The 22,063-nt window shown below is 46.7% G+C and overlaps 1 protein-coding gene and 1 long non-coding RNA gene across 3 annotated transcripts in view, besides 4 other annotated features; both read right to left on the bottom strand.

Moving 5' to 3' along the window:
• ARHGAP19 (Rho GTPase activating protein 19) overlaps window positions 1-5,442 on the bottom strand; it is a 70,459-nt gene extending 65,017 nt beyond the window's left edge. For both annotated transcript variants that reach the window (NM_001204300.2, NM_032900.6), the window contains exon 1: window positions 5,377-5,442. In NM_001204300.2, coding sequence (NP_001191229.1) covers window positions 5,377-5,432 — 56 coding nt within the window. In that variant the 5' untranslated portion in view covers window positions 5,433-5,442. The remainder of the gene's footprint in view (window positions 1-5,376) is intronic.
• ARHGAP19-SLIT1 (ARHGAP19-SLIT1 readthrough (NMD candidate)) overlaps window positions 1-5,478 on the bottom strand; it is a 139,632-nt gene extending 134,154 nt beyond the window's left edge. The window contains exon 1 of the long non-coding RNA NR_037909.1: window positions 5,377-5,478. This is a non-coding gene — a long non-coding RNA (ARHGAP19-SLIT1 readthrough (NMD candidate)). The remainder of the gene's footprint in view (window positions 1-5,376) is intronic.
• Window positions 2,737-3,495: an enhancer, noted in NCBI's record as "H3K27ac-H3K4me1 hESC enhancer chr10:99049689-99050447 (GRCh37/hg19 assembly coordinates)". NCBI's record gives its function as "activates a minimal SCP1, AML or CMV promoter by ChIP-STARR-seq in naive H9 embryonic stem cells {active_cell/tissue: H9 hESC(naive)}" and the evidence as "EXISTENCE:reporter gene assay evidence [ECO:0000049][PMID:30033119]".
• Window positions 4,254-5,012: an enhancer, noted in NCBI's record as "H3K27ac hESC enhancer chr10:99051206-99051964 (GRCh37/hg19 assembly coordinates)". NCBI's record gives its function as "activates a minimal SCP1, AML or CMV promoter by ChIP-STARR-seq in primed H9 embryonic stem cells {active_cell/tissue: H9 hESC(primed)}" and the evidence as "EXISTENCE:reporter gene assay evidence [ECO:0000049][PMID:30033119]".
• Window positions 5,013-5,769: an enhancer, noted in NCBI's record as "H3K27ac hESC enhancer chr10:99051965-99052721 (GRCh37/hg19 assembly coordinates)". NCBI's record gives its function as "activates a minimal SCP1, AML or CMV promoter by ChIP-STARR-seq in primed H9 embryonic stem cells {active_cell/tissue: H9 hESC(primed)}" and the evidence as "EXISTENCE:reporter gene assay evidence [ECO:0000049][PMID:30033119]".
• Window positions 5,114-5,163: a silencer, noted in NCBI's record as "silent region_2669". NCBI's record gives its function as "represses an Ori minimal core promoter by ATAC-STARR-seq in GM12878 lymphoblastoid cells {active_cell/tissue: GM12878}" and the evidence as "EXISTENCE:reporter gene assay evidence [ECO:0000049][PMID:35858748]".

Raw genomic sequence — 22,063 nt, forward strand, 5'->3', positions numbered from 1 at the left:
CTGCCTCCCCCTCCCAAAATACTGGGATTACAGGCGTGAGCCACCATGCCTGGCAGTGGATATTTTCTATTTGTGATTCCCCTTTAGTATTGTCTGCTTAAGAGTAACTTGAAGGTATAAGAAATGAAATGTGTTAAATTTTAAAGGACCATTCTACTTAATAAAAACCAGAAATGGAAGGGAGGGGGTGTTCCTCATCAACAGGTCAAAAACATAACATGGGAATCTTTATAGGCAGAGCAATTTTTCCTTGTTTAAATCTTTGGCCAGGTGCAGTGGCTCACACCTATATTCCCAACACTTTGGGAGGCCAAGGCAAGAGGAATGCTTGAGCCCAGGAGTTTGAGGCCCACCTGGGCAATATAGGGAGACTCAGTCTCTAGAATAAATTTTAAAAATTAGCCGAGTGTGGTGGCGCATGCCTGTAGTCCCAGCTACTTGAGAGGCTAAGGTGGAAGGATTGCTTGAGCCCAGAAGGTCATGGCTATAGTAAGCCATCATCATGCCACTACACTCCAGCCTGGACCACAAAGTGAGATCCTGTCTCAAAAAAAATCATAATAAGTTTTTTAAAATAAATATTTTGGCTGGGTGCGGTGGCTCACGCCTGTAATCCCAGCACTTTGGGAGGCCAAGGCAGGCAGATCACCTGAGGTCGGGAGTTCAAGACCAGCCTGACCAACACGGAGAAACACTGTCTCTACTAAAAATACAAAATTAGCCGGGCTTGGTGGCACATGCCTGTAATCCCAGCTACTCGGGATGCTGAGGCAGGAGAATCTTTTGAACCCAGGAGGTGGAGGTTGCGGTGAGCCAAGATCGTGCCATTGCATTCCAGCCGGGGCAACAAGAGCGAAACTCTGTCTCAAAAATAAATAAATAAATAAATATTTTATTAAAAGAAGTTAAAGCATTTGTAATTATTAGGAGCAGTGTTAAAATAATGATGAAAAAACAAAAAGCTGGGCAGTTCTAAATGATCACATATTCTGCATTCAATATTTACATATGTATTCATCTGTGCAAATCAGACCATTTTTCCTCTTCTTTATGGAATACAAGAGGCCACACTATCAACAGAACGTTAGAAAGATTAATCCCTGCAGCCGGGAGTGGTGGCTCACACCTGTAATTCCAGCACTTTGGGAGGCTGAGGCAGGTGGATCATGAGGTCAAGAGATGGAGAACATCCTGGCCAAGATGGTGAAACCCCGTCTCTACTAAAAATACAGAAATTAGTTGAGCGTGCTGGCACACGCCTGTAGTCCCAGCTACTTGGGAGGCTAAGGCAGGAGAATCGCTTGAACTCGGGGGGGCAGAGGTTGCAGTGAGCTGAGATCGTGCCACTACACTCCAGCCTGGTGACAGAGCAAGACTCCATCTAAAAAAAAAAAAGAAAAAAAGAACAACAAAAAAAAAAGATTAATCCCTGCAGAGCAAGAGCAAGAAAGAATCTGTAAAGTATTTATCACCACGAGAAAATATTTCTCTTAGAAATGACAGACTACTATTCACTAATTATTGACCACCTACACAAAGCACTGGGAATATGTGATAAATACATATGTGTATCCCGCCCTCAAAATGCCTTACAGAAACCCCAAACTTCTCTCCTTTTTTTTTTTTTTTTTTTTTTTGAGCTGGAGTCTCACTCTGTTGCCCAGGCTGGAGTGCACTGGTGTGATCTCAGCTCACTGCAACCTCTGCCTCCCGGATTCAAGCGATTCTCCTGCCTCAGCCTCCCGAGTAGCTGGGACTACAGGTGCATGCCACCATGCCTGGTTAACTTTTTTTTGTATTTTTAGTAGAGACAGGGTTTCACTGTGTTAGCCAGGATGGTCTCGATCTCCTGACCTCATGATCCACCTGCCTCAGCCTCCCAAGGTGCTGGGATCACAGGCGTGAGCCACCGTGCCCGGCTTTTTTTTTTTTTTTTCGAAACGTAGTCTCGCTCTGTCGCCCAGGCTGGAGGGCAATGGCGCTATCTCAGCTCACTGCAACCTCCACCTCCTAGGTTCAAGCGATTCTCCTGTCTCAGCCTCCCAAGTAGGTGGGATTACAGGCACACGCCACCACGCTCTGCTAATTTTGTGTATTTTTCATTGAGATGGGGTTTCACTGTGTTCCCCAGGCTGATCTGGAACTCCTGAGCTCAGGTGATGCACCCGCCTCAGCCTCAAAGTGCTAGGATTACAGGTGTGAGCCATCGCACCTGGCCCACTTCTCTTTTACAATATGGAATTGATGAAATGGTTTCAGGTTCAGGTACGATTATGTGAATACCTACTGATCATGTAATTAACTAATACTCTCACTGAAAATTTAAATTCAACTGGCAATATACTATAAAGAAATTCAGGCCAGGCGCAGTGGCTGACACCTATAATCCCAGCACTTTGGGAGCCCAAGGCAGGAGGATCACTTATGCCAGGAACTCAAGACCACCCTGGGCAACATGGCAAGACCCCGGTTTCTACAAAAAAACAAAACAACAACAACAACAAAAACACTAGCTGGGCATAGTGGCACGTGCCTGTAGTCCCAACTACTCAGGAGGCTGAGGAGGGAGGACCAGTTGAGCCCAGGAGGTTGAGGCTGCAGGGACCTGTGATCGTATCACTGCACTCCAGCCTGGGCAACAGAAGGAGCCCTGTGTTAAAAAAAAAAAAAAGAAAGAAAGAAAGAAAAGAAAAAGAAAAGAAAAGAAAATAAATTCAAACTACTCTTGCTATGGAATAGTATTTTATTTGTCCTCAGATTTTCACCAAAATTTAGAAATTTTTAAAGAACTGGATGAAGGATGATCTAATCAAATGTATCAATCACCTCTACAGTTCCCGGGCAAAAAAAAAAAATGATCAACCATTTATAGGCAGCTTCAAGAGTGGAAAACTCGGGCAACCCCCTTTGGGTCCCCTCCCTTTGTATGGGAACTCTGTTTTCACTCTATTTCACTCTATTAAATCTTGCAACTGCACTCTTCTGGTCTATGTTTGTTATGGCTGGAGCTGAGCTTTTGCTCGCCCTCTACCACTGCTGTTTGCCGCTGTCGCAGACCCGCCGCTGACTCCCATCCCGCTGCTGACTCCCATCCCTCCGGATCTGGCAGGGTGTCTGCTGTGCTCCTGATCCAGTGAGACTCCCATTGCCACTCCCGATCGTGCTAAAGGCTTGCCATTGTTCCTGCATGGCTAAGTGCCTGGGTTCGTCCTAATCAAGTTGAACACCAGTCACTGGGTTCCACGGTTCTCTTCCGTGACCCACAGCTTCTAATAGAGCTGTAACACTCACCCCATGGCCCAAGATTCCATTCCTTGGAATCGGTGAGGCTGAGAACCCCAGGTCAGAGAACACTAGGCTTGCCACCATCCTGGAAGCGGCCCGCCATCATCTTAGAAGCGGCTGGCCACCATCTTGGGAGCTCTGTGAGCAAGGACCCCCGGTAACATTTTGGTGACCACGAAGGGGCATCCAAAGCGTTTGTCTCTTCCAGAATTGAAACTGTAAAACTACAAATCATTCTTCAAATGGAGCCCCAGATGCAGTCTATGACTAAGATCCACCGCGGACCCCTGGAACAGCCTGCTAGCCCATGCTCCGATGTTAATGACATCGAAGGCAACCCTCCCGAGGAAATCTCAACTGCACAACCCCTACTACGCCCCAATTCAGCAGGAAGCAGTTAGGGCGGTCATCGGCCAATCTCCCCAACAGCACTTGGGTTTTCCTGTTGAGAAGGGGGACTGAGAGACAGGACTAGCTGGATTTCCTAGGCCAACTAAGAATCCCTGAGCCTAGCTGGGAATGTGACCGCATCCACCTTTAAACACGGGGCTTGCAACTTAGCTCACACCCAACCAATCAGAGAGCTCACTAAAATGCTAATTAGGCAAAAACAGGAGGTAAAGAAATAGCCAATCATCTCTTGCCTGAGAGCACAGCGGGAGGGACAAGGATCAGGATATAAACCCAGGCATTAGAGCCAGCAACGGCCACCCACTTTGGGTCCCCTCCCTTTGTGTGGGAGCTGTGTTTTCACTCTATTTCACTCTATGAAATCTTGCAACTGCAAAACAAAAACAAAACAAAACAAAAAAGAGTGGAAAACTCTTCCATATCATATTTTATTTTATTTATTTATTTGAGACATAGTCTTGCTCTGTCACCCAGGGTGGAATGCAATGGCGCATCTGGGCTCACTGCAACCTCCGCCTCAACCTCCTGAGTAGCTGGGACTACAGGCGCCCGCCACCACACCCGGCTAATTATTGTATTTTTAGTAGAGACGGGCTTTCATCATGTTCGCCAGGCTGGTCTCGAACTCCTGATCTCAGGTGATCCGCTCCCCTCGGCTTCCCAAAGTGCTGGGATTACAGGCGTAAGCCACCATGCCCGGCCCCGTATGATATTTTAAATAACACACTCAACCACGCTCATCTGGGCTCAGGAAGAAGCCGAGTCACAAAGTTATTAGTTTCCCAAGATTCTTGGAATCTCTTATTCGGTACAAATGGAACCAAAAGACGCCAAACCGAAGTATTTTACTGAGTTACACTGAGGCAACGTAAATAAACTCAATCTATTGAATTACACCAAAAACAAAATTGTAATCAATTAAGACAACTTAGGTCTCAAGGCTAAGGCAACACCACCTCGAAATTCTCTCCTGAAAACGCTAAATCTCGGTGTGGCTGTTTAGGAAAGAACATCCTGTGGAAATAAAGTCATGATGTCCTGGACTACAGATCCCTCTCCCATCTGCTCCTTAGCTGTTCTACTAGGAAGAAGAAAATCTATTGCGTAGAGTTGTCATTATCGGCTAAACTCAGTGCTAGCTTTAAATGGATTGTCTTATTCAATCTTGACACTTGGAAATAGGCATCCTCACGTCCCTTTGCAGATGAAGAAACTGAAGTCGAGAGAGGTTTAAAAACTGGCCCAAGGACTCAACACTGTTTCTAATTGACACTCAAATCCTTGCTCGGACCTGAACGCACAAAGTGCCTCGGAGAAGATGTGAAGCGCTGTGTGCAACAGTGAGGAATTCGCTAACCAGCCCTGGACTTCCGTTTCCTCGCCATCAAGAGGTGTCTCGGCGCCAAAGCGATCAGCGCTGCCACCCCCAGCTGGACGTCTGCAGCCAGCGCAGCGGGAGGAGCCCCCTCGGGCACCGGCAGGACCGAGCGGGGGGTTTGGCTGGAGTCCAGCGCCCAGGCCCGACCCCCGCGCCTCAGCCCCCGCAGGCGCGACGATGAGAAACGCCGTGGGAGAAAGAAACAAAGCCCGAACCGTGCGCCTCCGTGACCCAAGGCAAAGGCGGCAGGACTACCAGCCCAAGGCCGCGTTTCCCAGGAAACTGGACCAAACTCAGCTCACCTCCGGCCGGATTCGCGGGCTGGCACCTCCCCTTCACTCTGTGCCTCAGTCGCCATCTTCGTCAGCAAACTTCTTTCACCGCCCCACCTTACGTCCCGCCCCCACATATTTGGATTGGCTAATATGTTTTCACCTCTTCCGTGCGATTGGATGACTCGACCGCCCCTCCTCAACCTGAACCGTTTAATATATTATTGGTCTATTCAAATGACTAACCGTCATTGGTCGTTCCCAGCCCTGGCGGAAAAAGAGGGAGGGGCGGGGAAGAAGACCCAGCCCCGAGGCCTGCCGGGAGTTGTAGTTTCTCATTTTGATGAACCCTTCCGATTCCACAGACCTTTAGGTTCAAGTCAGAAATCACCAGCCTATGCTCAAATTTTGTCCTGATATGTAAATCAGGGAATTATAGAACTGTCAACTTTGAAAGTGACTCATCACTTTCTAAAATGCAAGACTCCGTACCCTATATCTCAGCATCACACAATATACCCAGATAACAAACCAACTCATGTACCCCCTAAATTTAAAATAAAAGTTGAAAATAAATAATTTTTTTTTACAATTTTTTTAATTTTTTTTTTCTGTTGAGACAGGGTTTCACCATGTTGCCCAGGCTGGTCTCGAACCCCTGAGCTCAAGCAATCCTCCTATGTCAGCCTCCCAAAGTGCTGGGATTACAGGCATGAGGCACTGCACCCAGCCATAAATTAATTCATTTAATTTAATGTAATTTAATGCAAGACTCGTTCTCTGTCTTGACCCAGAGATAAATCCCTCAAGTGCAGGCAGGGAGTGGCAACCTAGAAGTACTTGCTTTTAAACGTATAGTTCAAAGCCTTCTTTCTTCAGATACTCAGCATAGCCCTAGCCATAGGTCATTTCTTTCTTCCTTTATTTCTTTCTTTTTTTTTTTTTTTTGAGATAAGGTCTCCCTCTGTCTCCCATGCTGGAGCACAGTACAATATTGCAGCATACCAACACACAGGGCAAATTTTTGTACTTTTTGTAGAGATGGGGTTTCACCCTGTTGGCCAGGCTGGAGTCGGTCATTTCTGCTTCAATACATTCACTCCCTTCCAACTTCCCAGAGAACCCACAGAGTTTGCCTTGTGATATGAACCATGGAACCAAAAGCTGCATGACTTTGTCCCAAACTAAACTTTAATCCTCAATGGTAGGAATAACCATAATTATCCTTGTCCTCCCTGCGGCACACACTTCTCCTAGGGATTAACTGAGGCAACATATGTGAGAACATTGTAAATTTTGAGCATTGTTGTTTTTTGTTTTTCCATATTGTTTTCCTATGCTGGACTTTTCTCGGGAATTTCTGTATTGATCCTTCTGATATCCTGCCACCTGGGGCTCTCCCTGCACTCTGCCTCCTTTTTACTAAACTGTACTGCACATGCTTCACTTTCTGAACTGTCTTAGGGCTTTTGCACATGTTGCTTTTTCTGGCTCGTCCATTTTTCCACTTTTTTGGCTTTCAGGTCGAAGCTTAAATGTCACTGGCTCAAAGATCTTCCATGACCCCCATTGTATAAATCAATTCCCTCAGTAAACTTTCACAAAGAACTCTGTACTATTCTTTCACAGTTCATATCACAACTCACAATTACATAGTCATTTGTGTGACTATTTATTTCATGTGAGGGTTCCCAGCTAGGCTTCCTGCCACAAGTGGGCAGAGACTATATTTATTTTGCTCCCCACAGTTTCTGGCACATAATGGCTGTCCAATAAATATTTTTGAAAAATATAAGCAAGTCCTCAAACTATTATATCCAAATAAAAAATCAAATCATATACTCTAATAGATTTTTTTCAATTGATGAATTAATACTAAAAGTTTGATAAGGGCTAGGCACAGTGGCCTACACCCATAATCCCATCACTTTTGGAGGCTGAGGCAGGAGGATCACCTGGGCCCAGGAGTTCAAGGTTAAAGTGAGCTATGATTGTGCCACTGAACTCCAGGCTGTGCGACAGAATGAGACCCTTTCTCTAAAAAAGAAAATAAAAGTTTGATAAATGTGTCCAAATAAAATTGCATTTAGTTTGATGTTTTTTATGTTTTTTGTTTGAAACAGAGTCTCACTCTGTTGCCTAGGATGGAGTGTAGTGGCATGGTCTCCACTCACTGCAACCTCTGCCTCCCGAGTTCAAGCAATTCTCCAGCCTCAGACACTCAAGTAGCTGGGATTACAGGTGTGTGCCACCACATCTGGCTAATTTTTGTATTTGAGTAGAGATGGGTTTTGCCACGTTGGCCAGACTGGTCTCGAACTCCTGAACTCAAGTGATCTACCCACCTAGGCTTCCCAAAGTGCTGGGACTACAGGTGTGAGCCACCATGCCCAGTCTTATTTAGTTTGATGTTTAACAAATCATGTTTATTGAGCAAATACATGGAAAGAAACATAAAATTTAGCAAACGTATCAGTGAAATTTTTCATTGAACCTCAGACAGCCTTAGAAAATCCAGGCTGGGATCACTTGAGCCCAGGAGATTGAGACTACAGCAAGCCATGTTCATGCCACTGCACTCCACCCTGACAGAGCAAGACCCTGTCTCAAAAAAACAAAAAACAAAAAACAAAAAAAGAAAAAGAAGCCAAGTGTGATGGCTCACGCCTGTAATCCCAGCACTTTGGGAGGTCGAGGCAGGTAGATCACTTGAGGTCAGGAGTTCAAGACCAGCCTGACCAAAATGGTGAAATCCCATCTCTACTAAAAATACAAAAAAATAGCCGGGCATGGTGGCACACACCTGTAATCCCAGCTACTCAGGAGGCTGAGGCAGGAGAATCGCTTGAAACCAGGAAGTGGAGGTTACAGTGAGCCAAGATCATGTGCCACTGCACTCCAGCCTCGGCAACAGAGTGAGACTGTCTCAAAAAGAAAAGAAAAGAGAAAAAAAGGCCAGGCGAGGTGGCTCGCACCTGTAATCTCAGCACTTTGGGAGGCTGAGGCGGGTGGATCACCCGAGGTCAGGAGTTCCAGACTAGCCTGGCAACATGGTGAAACCCTGTCTCTACTAAAAATACAAAAATTAGCCGGGCGTGTTGCCACACACCTATAATCCCAGCTACTCGGGAGGCTGATGGAGGAGAATCACTTGAACCCAGGAGATGGAGGTTGCAGCGAGCCGAGATCGTGCAACTACACTCCAGCCTGGGCAATAGGTTGAGGCTATGTCTCAAAAAAAAAAAAAAAGAAAGAAAGAAAAGAAAATCCAGGTTGTGTTAATTGCTATATATACAAAGCAAGGAACCCAAGGCTCAAATTCTGCCCTTCCCTCAAAATAAGAACTAGTTTTGTTTCTAGCCCCATGACACCCAGCACATGGACTGATGGATTGAATGAAATTGATGCTTTCACAAAAGAAAAACTGTTCAAAACTTTAAAGTATTACCACTGCAACTAGGAGGAACGCCACAAAACTATATTTCTGGTTCATTTTTTTTAATGAAGAATCGCACCTTTTTTTTTTTTTTGAGACAGAGTCTCACTCTGTCACCCAGGCAAGAGTGCAGTGGCATGATCTCGGATCACTGCAACCTCCGCCTCCCAGGTTCAAGCAATTCTCCTGCCTCAGCCTCCCGAGTAGCTGGGACTACAAGCACCCACCACCACACCCGGCTAGTTTTTGTATTTATAGTAGAGACAGGGTTTTGCCATATTGGCCAGTCTGCTCTCGAACTCCTGACCTCAGGTGATCCACCCACCTCGGCCTCCCAAAGTGCTGGGATTACAGGCATGAGCCACCACACCTGGCCAAATCACATGTTTATATAATGTTTGGGAAAATACAGCACAGTAGTTACATGGGCTCTGGAGTTAATAAACCCAAGTTCAAATCCTGGCTCCAGAGCTCCTAGCTATGTGACCCTGGATAAGTTACTTAGCTTTCTGATTCCATTTCCTCTTCTGTAAAATGAGGATAATAAGTCTCACAAGGGTATGGTGAAGAGTAAAATAAGATAATTTCTGAGACTGGGCGCAGTGGCTCATGCCTGTAATCCCAGCACTTTGGGAGGCCGAGGCGGGCGGATCACCTGAGGTCGGGAGTTAGAGACCAGCCTGATTAACATGGAGAAACCCCGTCTCTACTAAAAATACAAAATTAGCCAGGTATGGTGGCACATGCCTGTAATCCCAGCTACTTGGGAGGCGGAGGCAGGAGAATCGCTTGAACCCGTAAGGCAGAGGTTGTGGTGAGCCGAGATCGCGCCATTGCACTCCAGCCTGGGCAACAAGAGCGAAACTCCGTCCCAAAAAAAAAAAAAAAAAAAAAGATAATTTCTGAAAAGCTGCTTAGTAGCACAGTGTCTAGAACATACTAAGATTAGATCAATGTTGGAGACGACATGATGAATATTAAGAATGCTAAACTCGGCCAGGCGCAGTGGCACACGCTGGTAATCTCAGCACTTTGGGAGGCTGAGGCAGGTGGATCATAAGGTCAGGAGTTCAAGACCAGCCTGGCCAACATGGTGAAATCCCTGTCTCTACTAAAGATACAAAAAAATTAGCATGGTGTCACGCGCCTGTAATCCCAGCTACTCAGGAGGCTGAGGCAGGAGAATCACTTGAACCCGGGAGGCAGAGGTTGCAGTGAGCTGAGAATTGCACTCCAACCTGGGCAACAGGGCAAGACTCTGTCTCAAAAAAAAAAAAAAAAAAAAAAAGAATGCTAAAAGAACGCTAAACTTGCTGGGCATGCACCTGTAGTCCCAGCTACTGCTGAGGCGGGAGGATTGCTTGAGCCCAGGAGTTCTGTATTACAATGCACTATGCCTATGGGGTGTCTGCACTAAGTGTGGCATCAATGTGGTGACCTCCCAGGAGTGGGGGCCACCAGGTTGACTAAGGAGGGGTGATACAGCCTAGGTTGGAAGCAGAGTATATCAAAAACCCCATGCTGGCTGGGCACAGTAGCTCACGAGACCAGCCTGACCAACATGGCGAAACCCCGTCTCTACTAAAAATACAAAAAATTAGCCTCCATCGGGAGGCTGAGGCAGGAGAACCGCTTGAACCTGGGAGGCGGAGGTTGCAGTGAGCTGAGATTGCGACACTGCACTCCAGCCTGGCCGACACAGTGAGACTCTGTCTCAAAACAAACAAAAACCGTATGCTGATCAGTAGCACAATTGTGCCTGTGGATAGCCACTGCACTCCAGCCTGGGCAACATAGTAAGACCCTGTCTCTAAAATAAATAAAGAAATAAAAGAATGCTAGACTCCCTTCTCTCCCTTCTCGGATAACACATCTATCTCCATGGCTGTGTGATAAGGACTACACATTACATCACGGTTACAGTTTAATCAGTTACTCTGGAGAGAGAAGTGTTTCTCCTCAAAACCAACTGTTCTGCTGTGACTTCTGATTAAAAGCAAATATCATTGCTGAGTGCTGTAAAAACACAAACTCAGCTGACAAGCCCACACACCTTTATTTCTGCAGGGGTATCATGACTTCCCTGAAGTCATCCTTACTCTATCTAGGTACAGAGTGTCAGCCTGGTGATAAGTGTGTACAGCAGGAATTCAAGACAGTTCAGAAAGTTATCTTGTTTTCAACAGTCTAGTTGAACAAAAGGTCACAGAAAGGTGGCCCCAGCCCTCAAATAGTTTACAGTAGACTCAGGGAGACAAAATGAACACATATAAGTCACACACCACAGAAGATAGTTTAGAATTACGGGGGCTGGGTGGGGGCTAAATATCAAAGTAGGGAACAGACTCTAGGAATTCAGAAGTGTGGAGAAGGGAAGAGGCCAAGACTGTCAGGAGGGTTTAGGAGCAAGCCCTAGGACTTGAGTCGGCCATGGATGTCACTACAAATCCATCTACCTACCCCACAAGACTGCGAGCTTTGGGGGCAGAAGTGGTGTTCTAATCATCTTTGTTTTTCCAGGCCCTAGCCTCCATGGCAGGGAAAAAGGGAGGGAGGAAAGCTGGGAAGGAAGTCAACAAAGGAACATGTTGGAAAAGGAAGAAAATGAAGATGTGCTCCCGACCCCACCTCTAACTTCACCCTTCAACAGTGCAGATGACTCGCAGACCTTGATGCATCTTTGTGTTTTATACTTTTGTTCTAGCTCTGCCCTCTGTTTAAATTAAAGCAAGACTTTTTTTTTTTTTTTTGAGATGAAGTCTTGCTCTGTCGCCCTGGCTGGACTACAGTGGTGCGATCTCAGGTCACTGTGCTGCAACCTCTGCCTTTCAGGTTCAGGCGATTCTCCTGCCTCAGCCTCCCTAGTAGCTGGGACTATGAGTGCGCACCACCACGCCTGGCTAATTTTTGTATTTTTAGTAGAGACAGGGTTTTACCATGTTGGCCAGGCTGGTCTTGAACTCCTGACCTCAAGTGATCCGCCCGACTTGGCTTCCCAAAGTGTTGGGATTATGGGCATGAGCCACCTAGCTGGGCCTAAAGCAGGACATTTTGATGCCCACATCAAAATACAAAAGCATCATGTGCACAATAAGCATTTCTGAGCCTTGCATCGGTTTCTAATCTTGTTAGGGATGGGGTGAGGGTGCCTACTGAATATCTTTTAAAAAACGAAAATCTAGGCCGGGCACGGTGGCTCACGCCTGTAATCCCAGCACTTTTGGAGGCCAAGGCGGGCGGATCACGAGGTCAGGAGATCGAGACCATCCTGGCTAACACGGTGAAACCCCGTCTCTACTAAAACACAAAAAATTAGCCGGGCGTAGTGGCGGGTGCCTGTAGTCCCAGCTACTCGAGAGGCTGAGGCAGGAGAATGGCGTGAACCCGGGAGGTGGAGCTTGCAGTGAGCCGAGATCGCGCCACTGCACTCCAGCCTGGGTGACAGAGCAAGACTCTGTCTCAAAAAAAAAAAAGAAAAGAAAATTTAGGCTGGGCGCGGTGGCTCATGCCAGCACTTTGGGAGGCCGAGGTGGGCGGATCACGAAGTCAGGAGTTCAAGACCAGCCTGGCCAACATGGTGAAACCCTGTCTCTACTAAAAAAAAAAAAATACAAAAATTAGCTGGGCATGATGGCAGGCGTCTGTAATCCCAGCTACTCGGGAGGCTGAGAAAGGAGAATCACTTGAACCCGGGAGACGGAGGTTGCAGTGAGCCAAGATCACGCCATTGCACTCCAGCCTGGGCAACAGAGCGATACTCCATCTCAAAAAAAATAAATAAAAGAAAGAAAGAAAATCTAAAATGTGATTGTGTTTGTTCTCTTGTCAAAATAGCCAACACTCCCACCAAAATATCATGTAGTTACCTGGAATACCAGTTGCCTTCTTTCTTTTCTCCCTAACTTGTATTCGTTATAAAACCATCTTTGAAATTACCATTTTAATGGCTTTCTTTTCACCTGTTAATATTTCTTTTTTTTTCTACAGACAGGGTCTCACTATGTTGCCCAGGCTGGTCTCAAACTCCTGTCTTCAAGTGATCCTCCCACCTTGACCTCCCAAAGTGTTAGGATTACAGGCATGAGCCACCACATCCAGCCACCTGTTAATATTTAGTGCTCTTCTTTTTTTATTGTTTAATTACACAAGTAATACAGAAAGATATTTTCATTATTAAAAAAACTCAAGTAATATGAATAAAAATTTACCCTTGTCTACATTCTTCTTTTTTTTTTTTTTTTTTTTTTTTTTTTGAGACGGAGCCTTGCTCTGTCGTCCAGGCTGGAGTGCAGTGGCACGATCTGGGCTCACTACAACCTCCGCCTCCCAGGTTAAGGGATTCTCATGCCTCAGCCTCCCCAAGTAGCTGGGATTACAGGTGCCCGCCACCACGCCCGGCTAATTTTTGTATTTTTAGTAGAGACAGAGTTTCACCATATTGGCCAGACTGGTCTCGAACTCTTGATTTTGTGATCCGCCTGCCTTGGCCTCCCAAAGTGCTGGGATTACAGGTTTGAGCCACCGCGCCCGGCTTTACCCTTGTCTACATTCTGGTCCCTCTAAGAAACCATTATTTTCAGTTTTATATGTGTCCTTCCAGATCTTTTTCTATATAATATTTTAATTCGACAAATATTTATTGAGTGTCTACTATGTGCCACACACTGTTCTAGGCCTGGGAATATAGGTATGAACAAATAAAGTCCTTCTTTTTCAGCATTTCACTATAATGGTAGCACACACATGCACAGAGAAATACATAATTTTGTCTGGGTATGGTGGCTCATGCCTGTAATCCCAGCACTTTGGGAGACTGAGGCGGACAGATCACCTGAGGTCAGGAGTTTGAGACCAGCCTGACCAACATGGCGAAACCCTGTCTCTACTAAAAATACAAAAATTAACCAGGCGTGGTGGCACATATCTGTAATCCCACCTACTTGGGAAGCTAAGGCAGGGAGAATCGCTTGAACCCAGGAGGCAGAGGTTGCAGTGAGCCAAGATCACGCCATTTCACTCCAGCCTGGGCAACAGAGTGACACTCCATCTCAAAAAAAAAAAAAAAGACATACATAACTTTGTTTTAATTTTTAAATAAAGAGTGATATACTGTACTGTCCTTAGACATGTATTATGGAGATCTTTCCACATCTATGTGCATAGTTCTGCCATTACTTTTTTGAACCGCTGCATGGTATTCCACACTGTAGATGTTTCTGCATTTATTTAAACCATCCCCTCTAATTGAACTTTTATGTATATGTCAGGCAGAGTTGCAAGCACTGAAAATGGACTTACCTAACAGAAACAGAAACTGGATTTGTTGGAAGGAAACTAGACTGAAGAACTGCCTGGAAGAAAAGGGGTTAGAGAGCAGGAAACCCAGCTGAGGTCACGCCATCCAGACCTGTCCACTGCAGCAGGCTCCCCTCCACCGAGTGCCCATTTATCCTTGTGGGCTTGTCACTCCCTGGAAAGACAGAGTCTTGAGTGAGAATGTCTGGCAGGCCAAGCCTAGGTCTCATGCCTCCACTGTCTGCTGGGAGAAGAGCCTTGCCTCCCACTAGAATTCTCCCTGTGGAGAAAACTCCCAAAGGGGGGAATAATTAAGGGACACACATTTCCTACAAATCATTCTCAATTTTTTGCCTCCCACGTCTCTTTGTGTACACAACCACATGTTTATTCAGGGCTGGGGCAAAACTTAATGCCACACGGGTGGATCACCTGAGGTCAGGAGTTCGAGACCAGCCTGGCAAACATGGTGAAACACCATCTCTACTAAAAATACAAAAATTTAGCCGGAAGTGGTGGCGGATGCCTGTAATCCCAGCTACTTTGGAGGCTGAGGCAGGAGAATCATTTGAACCCAGGAGGCAGAGGTTGCAGTGAGTCGAGTCGAGATTGCACCACTGCACTCCAGCCTGGGCAACAAGAGCAAAACTCTACCTCAAAAAAAAAAACAAAAACAAAAACAAAAAACTTAATGCCTCAGTCTTCTTCGGACACACCAAAGACTCTAGCATCTACATCATTCCATATGCAGAAAAAAAGAAAACCGTCTTCAGCTTTGCTGTGGAATGCTCTTCAAGACTGACCACGGGACCAGAGAGTGGGAAAGGGGACTCAGTGAGGTGAGGGAAGAAGAACCAACTCTGTGCTGCTAAAAACATTCAGTGCTGGAACTCCAGGATAAAAACTCTGGAGGTCACTTTCCCCAGCCAGGAGAACTACAAGCTGGGAAAGGTCACTGGTAGGAAGCTAGCAGAGAGGGCTGAAAGCACAAGCAGTCACAGAGCATTGTGATGGGGACTCGGCCACCTCAGGCACTGAGCTCAGTGTTGGGGCTATGGAGAAGGAGTCGTGGATCCTACGCTCAGGAGGCTTGCAGACTGGGGCCCGAGGGCAAGGGTGCTATGCCATCTGGGCCACAACAGAGCAAAGGACTGAACTTTCCAAAAGCAAGAAGATACTCCCAGAAGACAGGCCTGGCATGGGGACCAGGTCTGAGGGCCTGGGTGACGTGGGTGGCATGGGTGACCCTGAGCCTGACAGGGTGAGCGCGAAAGCCTGCAAACACACCAAACATTTGAAATCTCTCTGGCTGCTGTGGTTTGAATGTCCAATTTAAAACTCATGTTGGCCAGGTGCAGTGGCTCACTCCTGTAATCCTTGCCCTCTGGGAAGCCGAAAGGGCGGATCACCTGAGGTCAGGAGTTCTAGAACAGCCTGGCCAACAGAGTGAAACCCCGCCTCTACTAAAAATACAAAAAAAAGGAAAAAGATTAGTTGGGCATGGTGGTGCGTGCCTGTAGTCCCAACTACCTGGGAGTCTGAGGCAGGAGAATTGCTTCAACCCGGGAGGTGAAGGTTGCACTGAGCCAAGATCACTCCACTGTACTCCAGCCTGGGTGACAGAGTGAGTCTCCACCTCAAAAGAAAAAAAACTAATGTTGAAACTTAATCCTCAATGTGGCAATATGGAGAGGTGGGTCCTTCATGAATGTATTAATCCATTCACAGATTAATGAATGAATGGGTTAATAGATTAGTGGGTTGTCACGGGAGGAGAACTGGTGACTTTATTTATTTATTTTTATTTAGTTATTTATTTATTTTGAGATGGGGTCCCATTCTGTCACCCAGGCTGGAGTGCAATGGTGCAATTATGGCTCACTACACTCTCAACCTGGGCTCAAGCAACTCTCCCACTTCAGCCTCCCAAGTAGCTGGGACTACAGGCACGCACCACCATGCCCAGCTAATTTTTTCTTTTTTTTTTTTTGGTAGAGACACATCTTGCTTTCTTGCCCAGGCTGGTCTTGAACTCATGTCCTCAAATGATCCTCCCACCTTGGCCTCCCAAAGTGCTGGGATTACAGGCATGAAGCCACCGCACCAGGCCAAGCTGGTGGCTTTACAAGAAGAGGAAGAGAGGCCGGGCATAGTGGTTCACGCCTGTAATCCCAGCACTTTGGGAGGTGGAGGCGGGTTGATTACCTGAGGTCAGGAGTTTGAGACCAGCCTGGCCAATATGGTGAAACCCTGTCTCTGCTAAAAATACAAAAATTAGCCAGGTGTACTGGTGGGTGCCTGTAATCCCAGCTACCCGGGAGGCTGAGGCAGGAGAATCGCTTGAACCTGGGAGGCAGAGGTTGCAGTGAGCTGAGATCATGCCATTCCACTCTAGCCTGGGCAACAAGAGCAAAACTCTGTCTAAAAAAAAAAAAGGCCGGGTGTGGTGGCTCACGCCTGTAATCCCAGCACTTTGGGAGGCCGAGGCGGGCAGATCACGAGGTCAGGAGATCGAGACCATCCTGGCTAAGAGGTGAAACCCCATCTCTACTAAAAATACAAAAAATTAGCCGGGCGTGGTGGCAGGCACCTGTGGTCCCAGCCACTCGGGAGGCTGAGGCAGGAGAATGGTGTGAACCCGGGAGGCGGAGTTTGCAGTGAGCCGAGATCGCGTCACTACACTCCAGCCTGGATGACAGAGCGAGACTCCGTCTCAAAAAAAAGAAAGAGGAGGAAGAGAGACCTGAGCTAGCACACTCAGCCTCCTTGCCATGTAATGCCCTGTACCATCTTGGGACTCTTCACAGAGTCTCCATCAGCAAGAAGGCTCCCACCAGATGCAGCCCCTTGACCTTGAACTTCTCAGCCTCCATAATTGTAAGAAATAAATTTATTTTCTTTATAAATTACCCGGTTTCAGGAACTCTGCTATAAGCAACAGAGAACAAACTAAGACCCTAACCCAGGCCTCAGGTCAGAAGGCCACAGGGGCTGGTGGGAAGTTTCAAAGCAGTAACACATTTGTGATAGTCAAGAGCAAGCCAGTACATTGTGAGCCCACTACGTTGGATGTTGCCTCCATGGTCTTGTGAACTGATGCACAGATCCCTTTTTCCTACCACTGTAACCCATTTTCATGGAGTTTGTTTTGGTATGAAGAGAAATTTTGCACATAAAGTCTCTATAGTGATTAGGAAGTAGGATGAAGGTCAGGAAAGGCACTAATATTTCCCCACCTCTCTGTCCTCTAGATATGGAGGCTTCAGAGTCAGCTTCAAAGATTCCCCCATTCAAAATCAGAAAGTAAGGCCAGGCATGGTGGTTCACACCTGTAATCCCAGCACTTTGGGAGGCCGAGGCAGGTGGATCACTTGAGCTCAGGAGTTCAAGACCAGCCTGGGCAACATGGCAAACCCTGTCTCTACAAAAAACAGAATTTTTATTTATTTATTTCATTTTTCTTTTTTCTTTTTTGAGACAGAGTCTTGCTCTGTCACTCAGGCTGGAGTGCAGTGGCACGATCTCAGTTCACTGCAACTTCCACCTCCTGGGTTCAAGCAATTCTCATGCCTCAGTCTCCTGAGTAGCTGAGATTACAGGAGTGCACCACCACACCCAGCTAATTTTTTGTATTTTTAGTAGAGATGGGGCTTCACCGGCCTGGCGTGGTGGCTCACACCTGTAATCCCAGTGAGTCGGGCAGATCACAAGGTCAGGAGATCGAGACCATCCTGGCTAACACAGTGAAACCCCATCTCTACTAAAAAATACAAAAAATTAGCTGGGCATGGTGGCGGGCACCTGTAGTCCCAGCTACTCGGGAGGCTGAGGCAGGAGAATGGCATGAACCCGGGAGGTGGAGCTTGCAGTGAGCTGAGATGGCGCCACTGCATTCCAGCCTGGGCAACAGAACAAGACTTTGTCTCAAAAAAAAAAAAAAAGAGATGGGGTTTCACCATGTGGCCCAGGCTGGTTTTGAACTCCTGACCTCAGGCAATCTGCCCGCCTCAGGCAATCAGTCATGAGCCATTGCGCTGGGCCTAATTTATGTGGGTGTTTTTTTTTTTGAGATGGAGTCTCGCTCTGTTGCCCAGGCTGGAGTGCAGTGGCGAGATCTCAGCTCACTGCAACCTCCGCCTCCCAAGTTCAAAGCGATTCTCCTGCCTCAGCCTCCCAAGTAGCTGGGACTACAGGCGCCCACCACCACACCGGCTAATTTTTTGTATTTTTAGTAGAGACGGAGTTTCACCATGTTAGCCAGGATGGTCTCGATCTCCTGACCTCGTGATCTGCCAGCCTCGGCCTCCCAAAGTGTTGGGATTACAGGCATGAGCCAACACCCCTGGCCTAATTTTTGTATTTTTAATGGAGACGGGGTTTCACCATGTTGGCCAGGCTGGTTTCGAACTCTTGAGCTCAGGTGATCTGCCCACCTCGGCCTCCCAAAGTGCTGGGATTACAGGCGGGAGCCGCTACGTCCAGCCAAAAAAAGTGCAAAACCTAGCTGGGTGCTATGGCTTGCACCTGCAGTACCAGCTACTCTCAAGGCTGAGGCAGGAGAATTGCTTGAGCCGTGGAGGTGGAGGTTTTAGTGAGCTGAGATCACACCATTGCACTCCAGCCTGGGTGACAGGAGTGAAACCCTGTCTAAAAAAAAAAAAAAAAAAAAAAAATCAGAAATAAAGGAAATTGTCCTTCAGCTCCTTAGGCTTACACATCCCCATCCAGGGATCTAGTCATTCCCATCCATAGGACTTACCTTCTTTCAGAGTTATCAAAAGAGCTGCTTTTGTTCATTCACTTACACTTTAATGTGAATTAAATACAAAACTACCTCTTCTGAAATATGTGAATTTATTTGTTTATTTATTTATTTATTTTGAGATGGAGTCTCACTCTGTCCCCAAGGCTGGAGTGCAGTAGCACAATCTTGGCTCACTGCAACCTCCACCTCCTGGGCTCAAGGGATCCTCCTGCCTCAGCCTCCCAAGTAGCTGAGATTACAGGCACTTGCCACCATGCCTGGCTAATTTTTATATTTTTAGTAGAGATGGAGTTTCACCATGTTGGTCAGGCTGGTCTCAAACTCCTGACCTCGGGTGATCCACCAGCCTCAGCCTCCCAAAGTGTTGGGATTACAGGCGTGAGCCACCACCCCCGGCCTGGAATAAGGACCGCTTCCAATTGTGAAAGAAAATGCTTGTTGCCCAGTTAACATAATTCCACATAATCATTTTGATTAGGAAACCTAAACAACTTCTGGAGAACTCAAGAACTCTGTCCCAGGCTGCCATTTCACATTTGCTGCATTTCTAGATGTGTTTATATGATTGCTTGAGTGGTGTTGTCTTCTACTGGAGTGTAGCTTCATGACTTAAGAATCTTTCGGCCAGGCACAGTGGCTCCCGCCTGTAATCCCAGGACTTTGGGGGGCCAAGGTGGGCAGATCACCTGAGGTCAGGAGTTAGAAACCAGCCTGACCAATGTGCCATCTCTACTAAATATACAAAAATTAGCCGGGCGTGGTGGCATGAGCCTGGAATCCCAGCTACCTGAGAAGCTGAGACAGGAGAATTGCTTGAACCCGGGAGGCAGAGGTGGTGGTGAGCTGAGATCGCGCCATTGTACTCCAGCCTGGGCAACAAGAGCGAAACTTCATCTCAAAAAAAAAAAAAGGATCTTTTTTATTTTAAGGCTGGTCAAGTGACACATTTGGCTTTACTTAGCCAACTATTTGTTGAATGAATAAAGGAACAAATGAATCAAACCAAAGATTCCTGGCCGGGCGCGGTGGTTCATGCCTGTAATCCCAGCACTTTGGGAGGCTGATGCGGGCAGATCACAAGGTCAGGAGTTCAAGACCAGCCTGGCCAATATGGTGAAACCCCATATCTACTAAAAATACAATTTGCCAGGCGTAGTGGCAGGTGCCTGTAGTTCCAGCTACTTGGGAGGGTGAGGCAGGAGAATTGCATGAACCCGGGAGGCAGAGGTTGCAGTGAGCCGAGATCACACCACTGCACTCCAGCCTGGGCTACAGAACCAGATTCTGTCTCAAAAAAAAAAAAAAAATGCATAGAAACAATGAGATTATTTAGATCTTATGGAAAAAACACATCCTGCCTATATTGGACATAGGATTTTGTTCTGATGCATGCAGCATCTCTGTAGAGGTTCTCTGCTCCTTTATGCTCCTTTATCCTCAGTCCATGTGTTTTAAGTGGCATTGATCCCATTTCTGGCTACAGGAGTGGGCAAGCGACACAGGCCTGGCAAATCAGAGGAACCTAACCTCTAGATTCATGGATCTGACAGTCTAGACCAGCCCAACTCACTATAGAAAGGAGGTATGTGGTAAGGGCTCACTTGGAGGAACCAAAGAGAGTGGGAAGAAGGAGAGTGGGAGGAACCACTGACTCTTGGTGAGAGCAGAGATAGCTGCATGAGGAGGTTTGTAGCTGGACTAAGATTTAGATGGGTGGAATTCAGGGAGTGCATTCTCTACACAAAGAGCAGGAACAAACATGGGGTGATAGGAACATGTAAGATGTTTTTGAAAGCTGGCAAGGGCCCAGTTGACACGAACAAAAGGTTTATGTGGAGGTGGAGGACAAGATAAAGTTGGAGGAGTGGACCAGGGCAAGCCCCCCTGAGAGTTCTGGACACTGTGTTAAGGAGTGGAAGAGTTTACTCCAGAGGCCATGTGGACCTGTTCAGAGGGGAGGCCGTGGGTAACCTGAGCAGGGTTGGGCATTAGGAAGTTGATCTGTCAGAAGAGTGGATTAAAGGGAAAGAGGCCGGGGTTCTGACCCAAGATGCATGAACCTGGCCAAAAAAACATTAAGGGCATCGGGCAGTAGGACCGAAATAGAACCACCAGCTGAGGCACTGAAGAAAGAATCAGTGTGCCTTGAGGAACATAATAAGGCAGAGCTAAAAGACCAGACTCCAGAGGCTGGGTTATGGCATCTGGGTAGTGGTTTGAGAAGGGCAGGCTTTGGCATCTATCAAAACTGAGTTTGAATCCTGGGCCTGGCACTAGAAATATGTGTAATTCTGGGCAAGTTTACTTATTTCTGGGCCTTGGTTTTCTTATCCATGAAAAGGAATAATAATACCAAATTCAGAGGTTTTTGGAAGACTAACTGAAATAATATCCTTAAAGCAATTTTCAGGGTACCAGGAATAAAATAAATATCCAATGTAGCTAGTGGGTACAAAGTTTCTTCTAGGAGTGATGCAAATGTTCTAAAATTAGATTATGGTTACACAACTCTGTAAATATCTAAAAACCATTCAGTTGTATACTTTTTTCTGTGTGTGAGATGGTGTCTCGCTCTGTTGCCCATGATGGAGTGCAGTGGCGCAATCTCAGCTCACTGCAACCTCCGCCTCCCGGGTTCAAGTGATTCTCCTGTCTCACCCTCCCGAGTAGCTGGGACTACAGGCATGCACCACCATGCCCGGCTAATTTTTGTATTTTTAGAAATGTTTGTTTTTTGTGTTTTTTGTGTTTTTTTGAGAGAGTCTCGCTCTGTCGCCCAAACTGGAGTGCAGTGGTACGATCTCAGCTCACTACAACCTCTGCCTCCCGGGTTCAAGCAATTCTCCTGCCTCAGCCTACTGAGTAGCTGGGATTACAGGTGCACACCACCACGCCTGGCTAATTTTTGCATTTTTAGTACAGATGGGGTTTCACCATGTGGGTCAGGCTGGTCTCGAACTCCTGACCTCGTGATCCACCTGCCTCGGCCTCCCAAAGTGCTGGGATTACAGGCGTGAGTCACCACGCCCAGCCAAAAAAAGTTTGTTTTTTTTTTTGTTCAAATGATCCTTTATTGAAATATTTTGTTTTGTGCTTCTTCACTAGCTGGGCATATTCCACAACACCACTGTTGATGTCATCTGTGATGTCATGAGGGTGGCGACCATCAACATTATGGCCCACAGATTAGGGAGTCCCCAGGATTTTTTTTTTTTTTTTTT

The sequence above is a fragment of the Homo sapiens genome, chromosome 10 (assembly GCF_000001405.40).
Source record: "Homo sapiens chromosome 10, GRCh38.p14 Primary Assembly".
NCBI classification, from domain to species: Eukaryota; Metazoa; Chordata; class Mammalia; order Primates; family Hominidae; genus Homo; species Homo sapiens.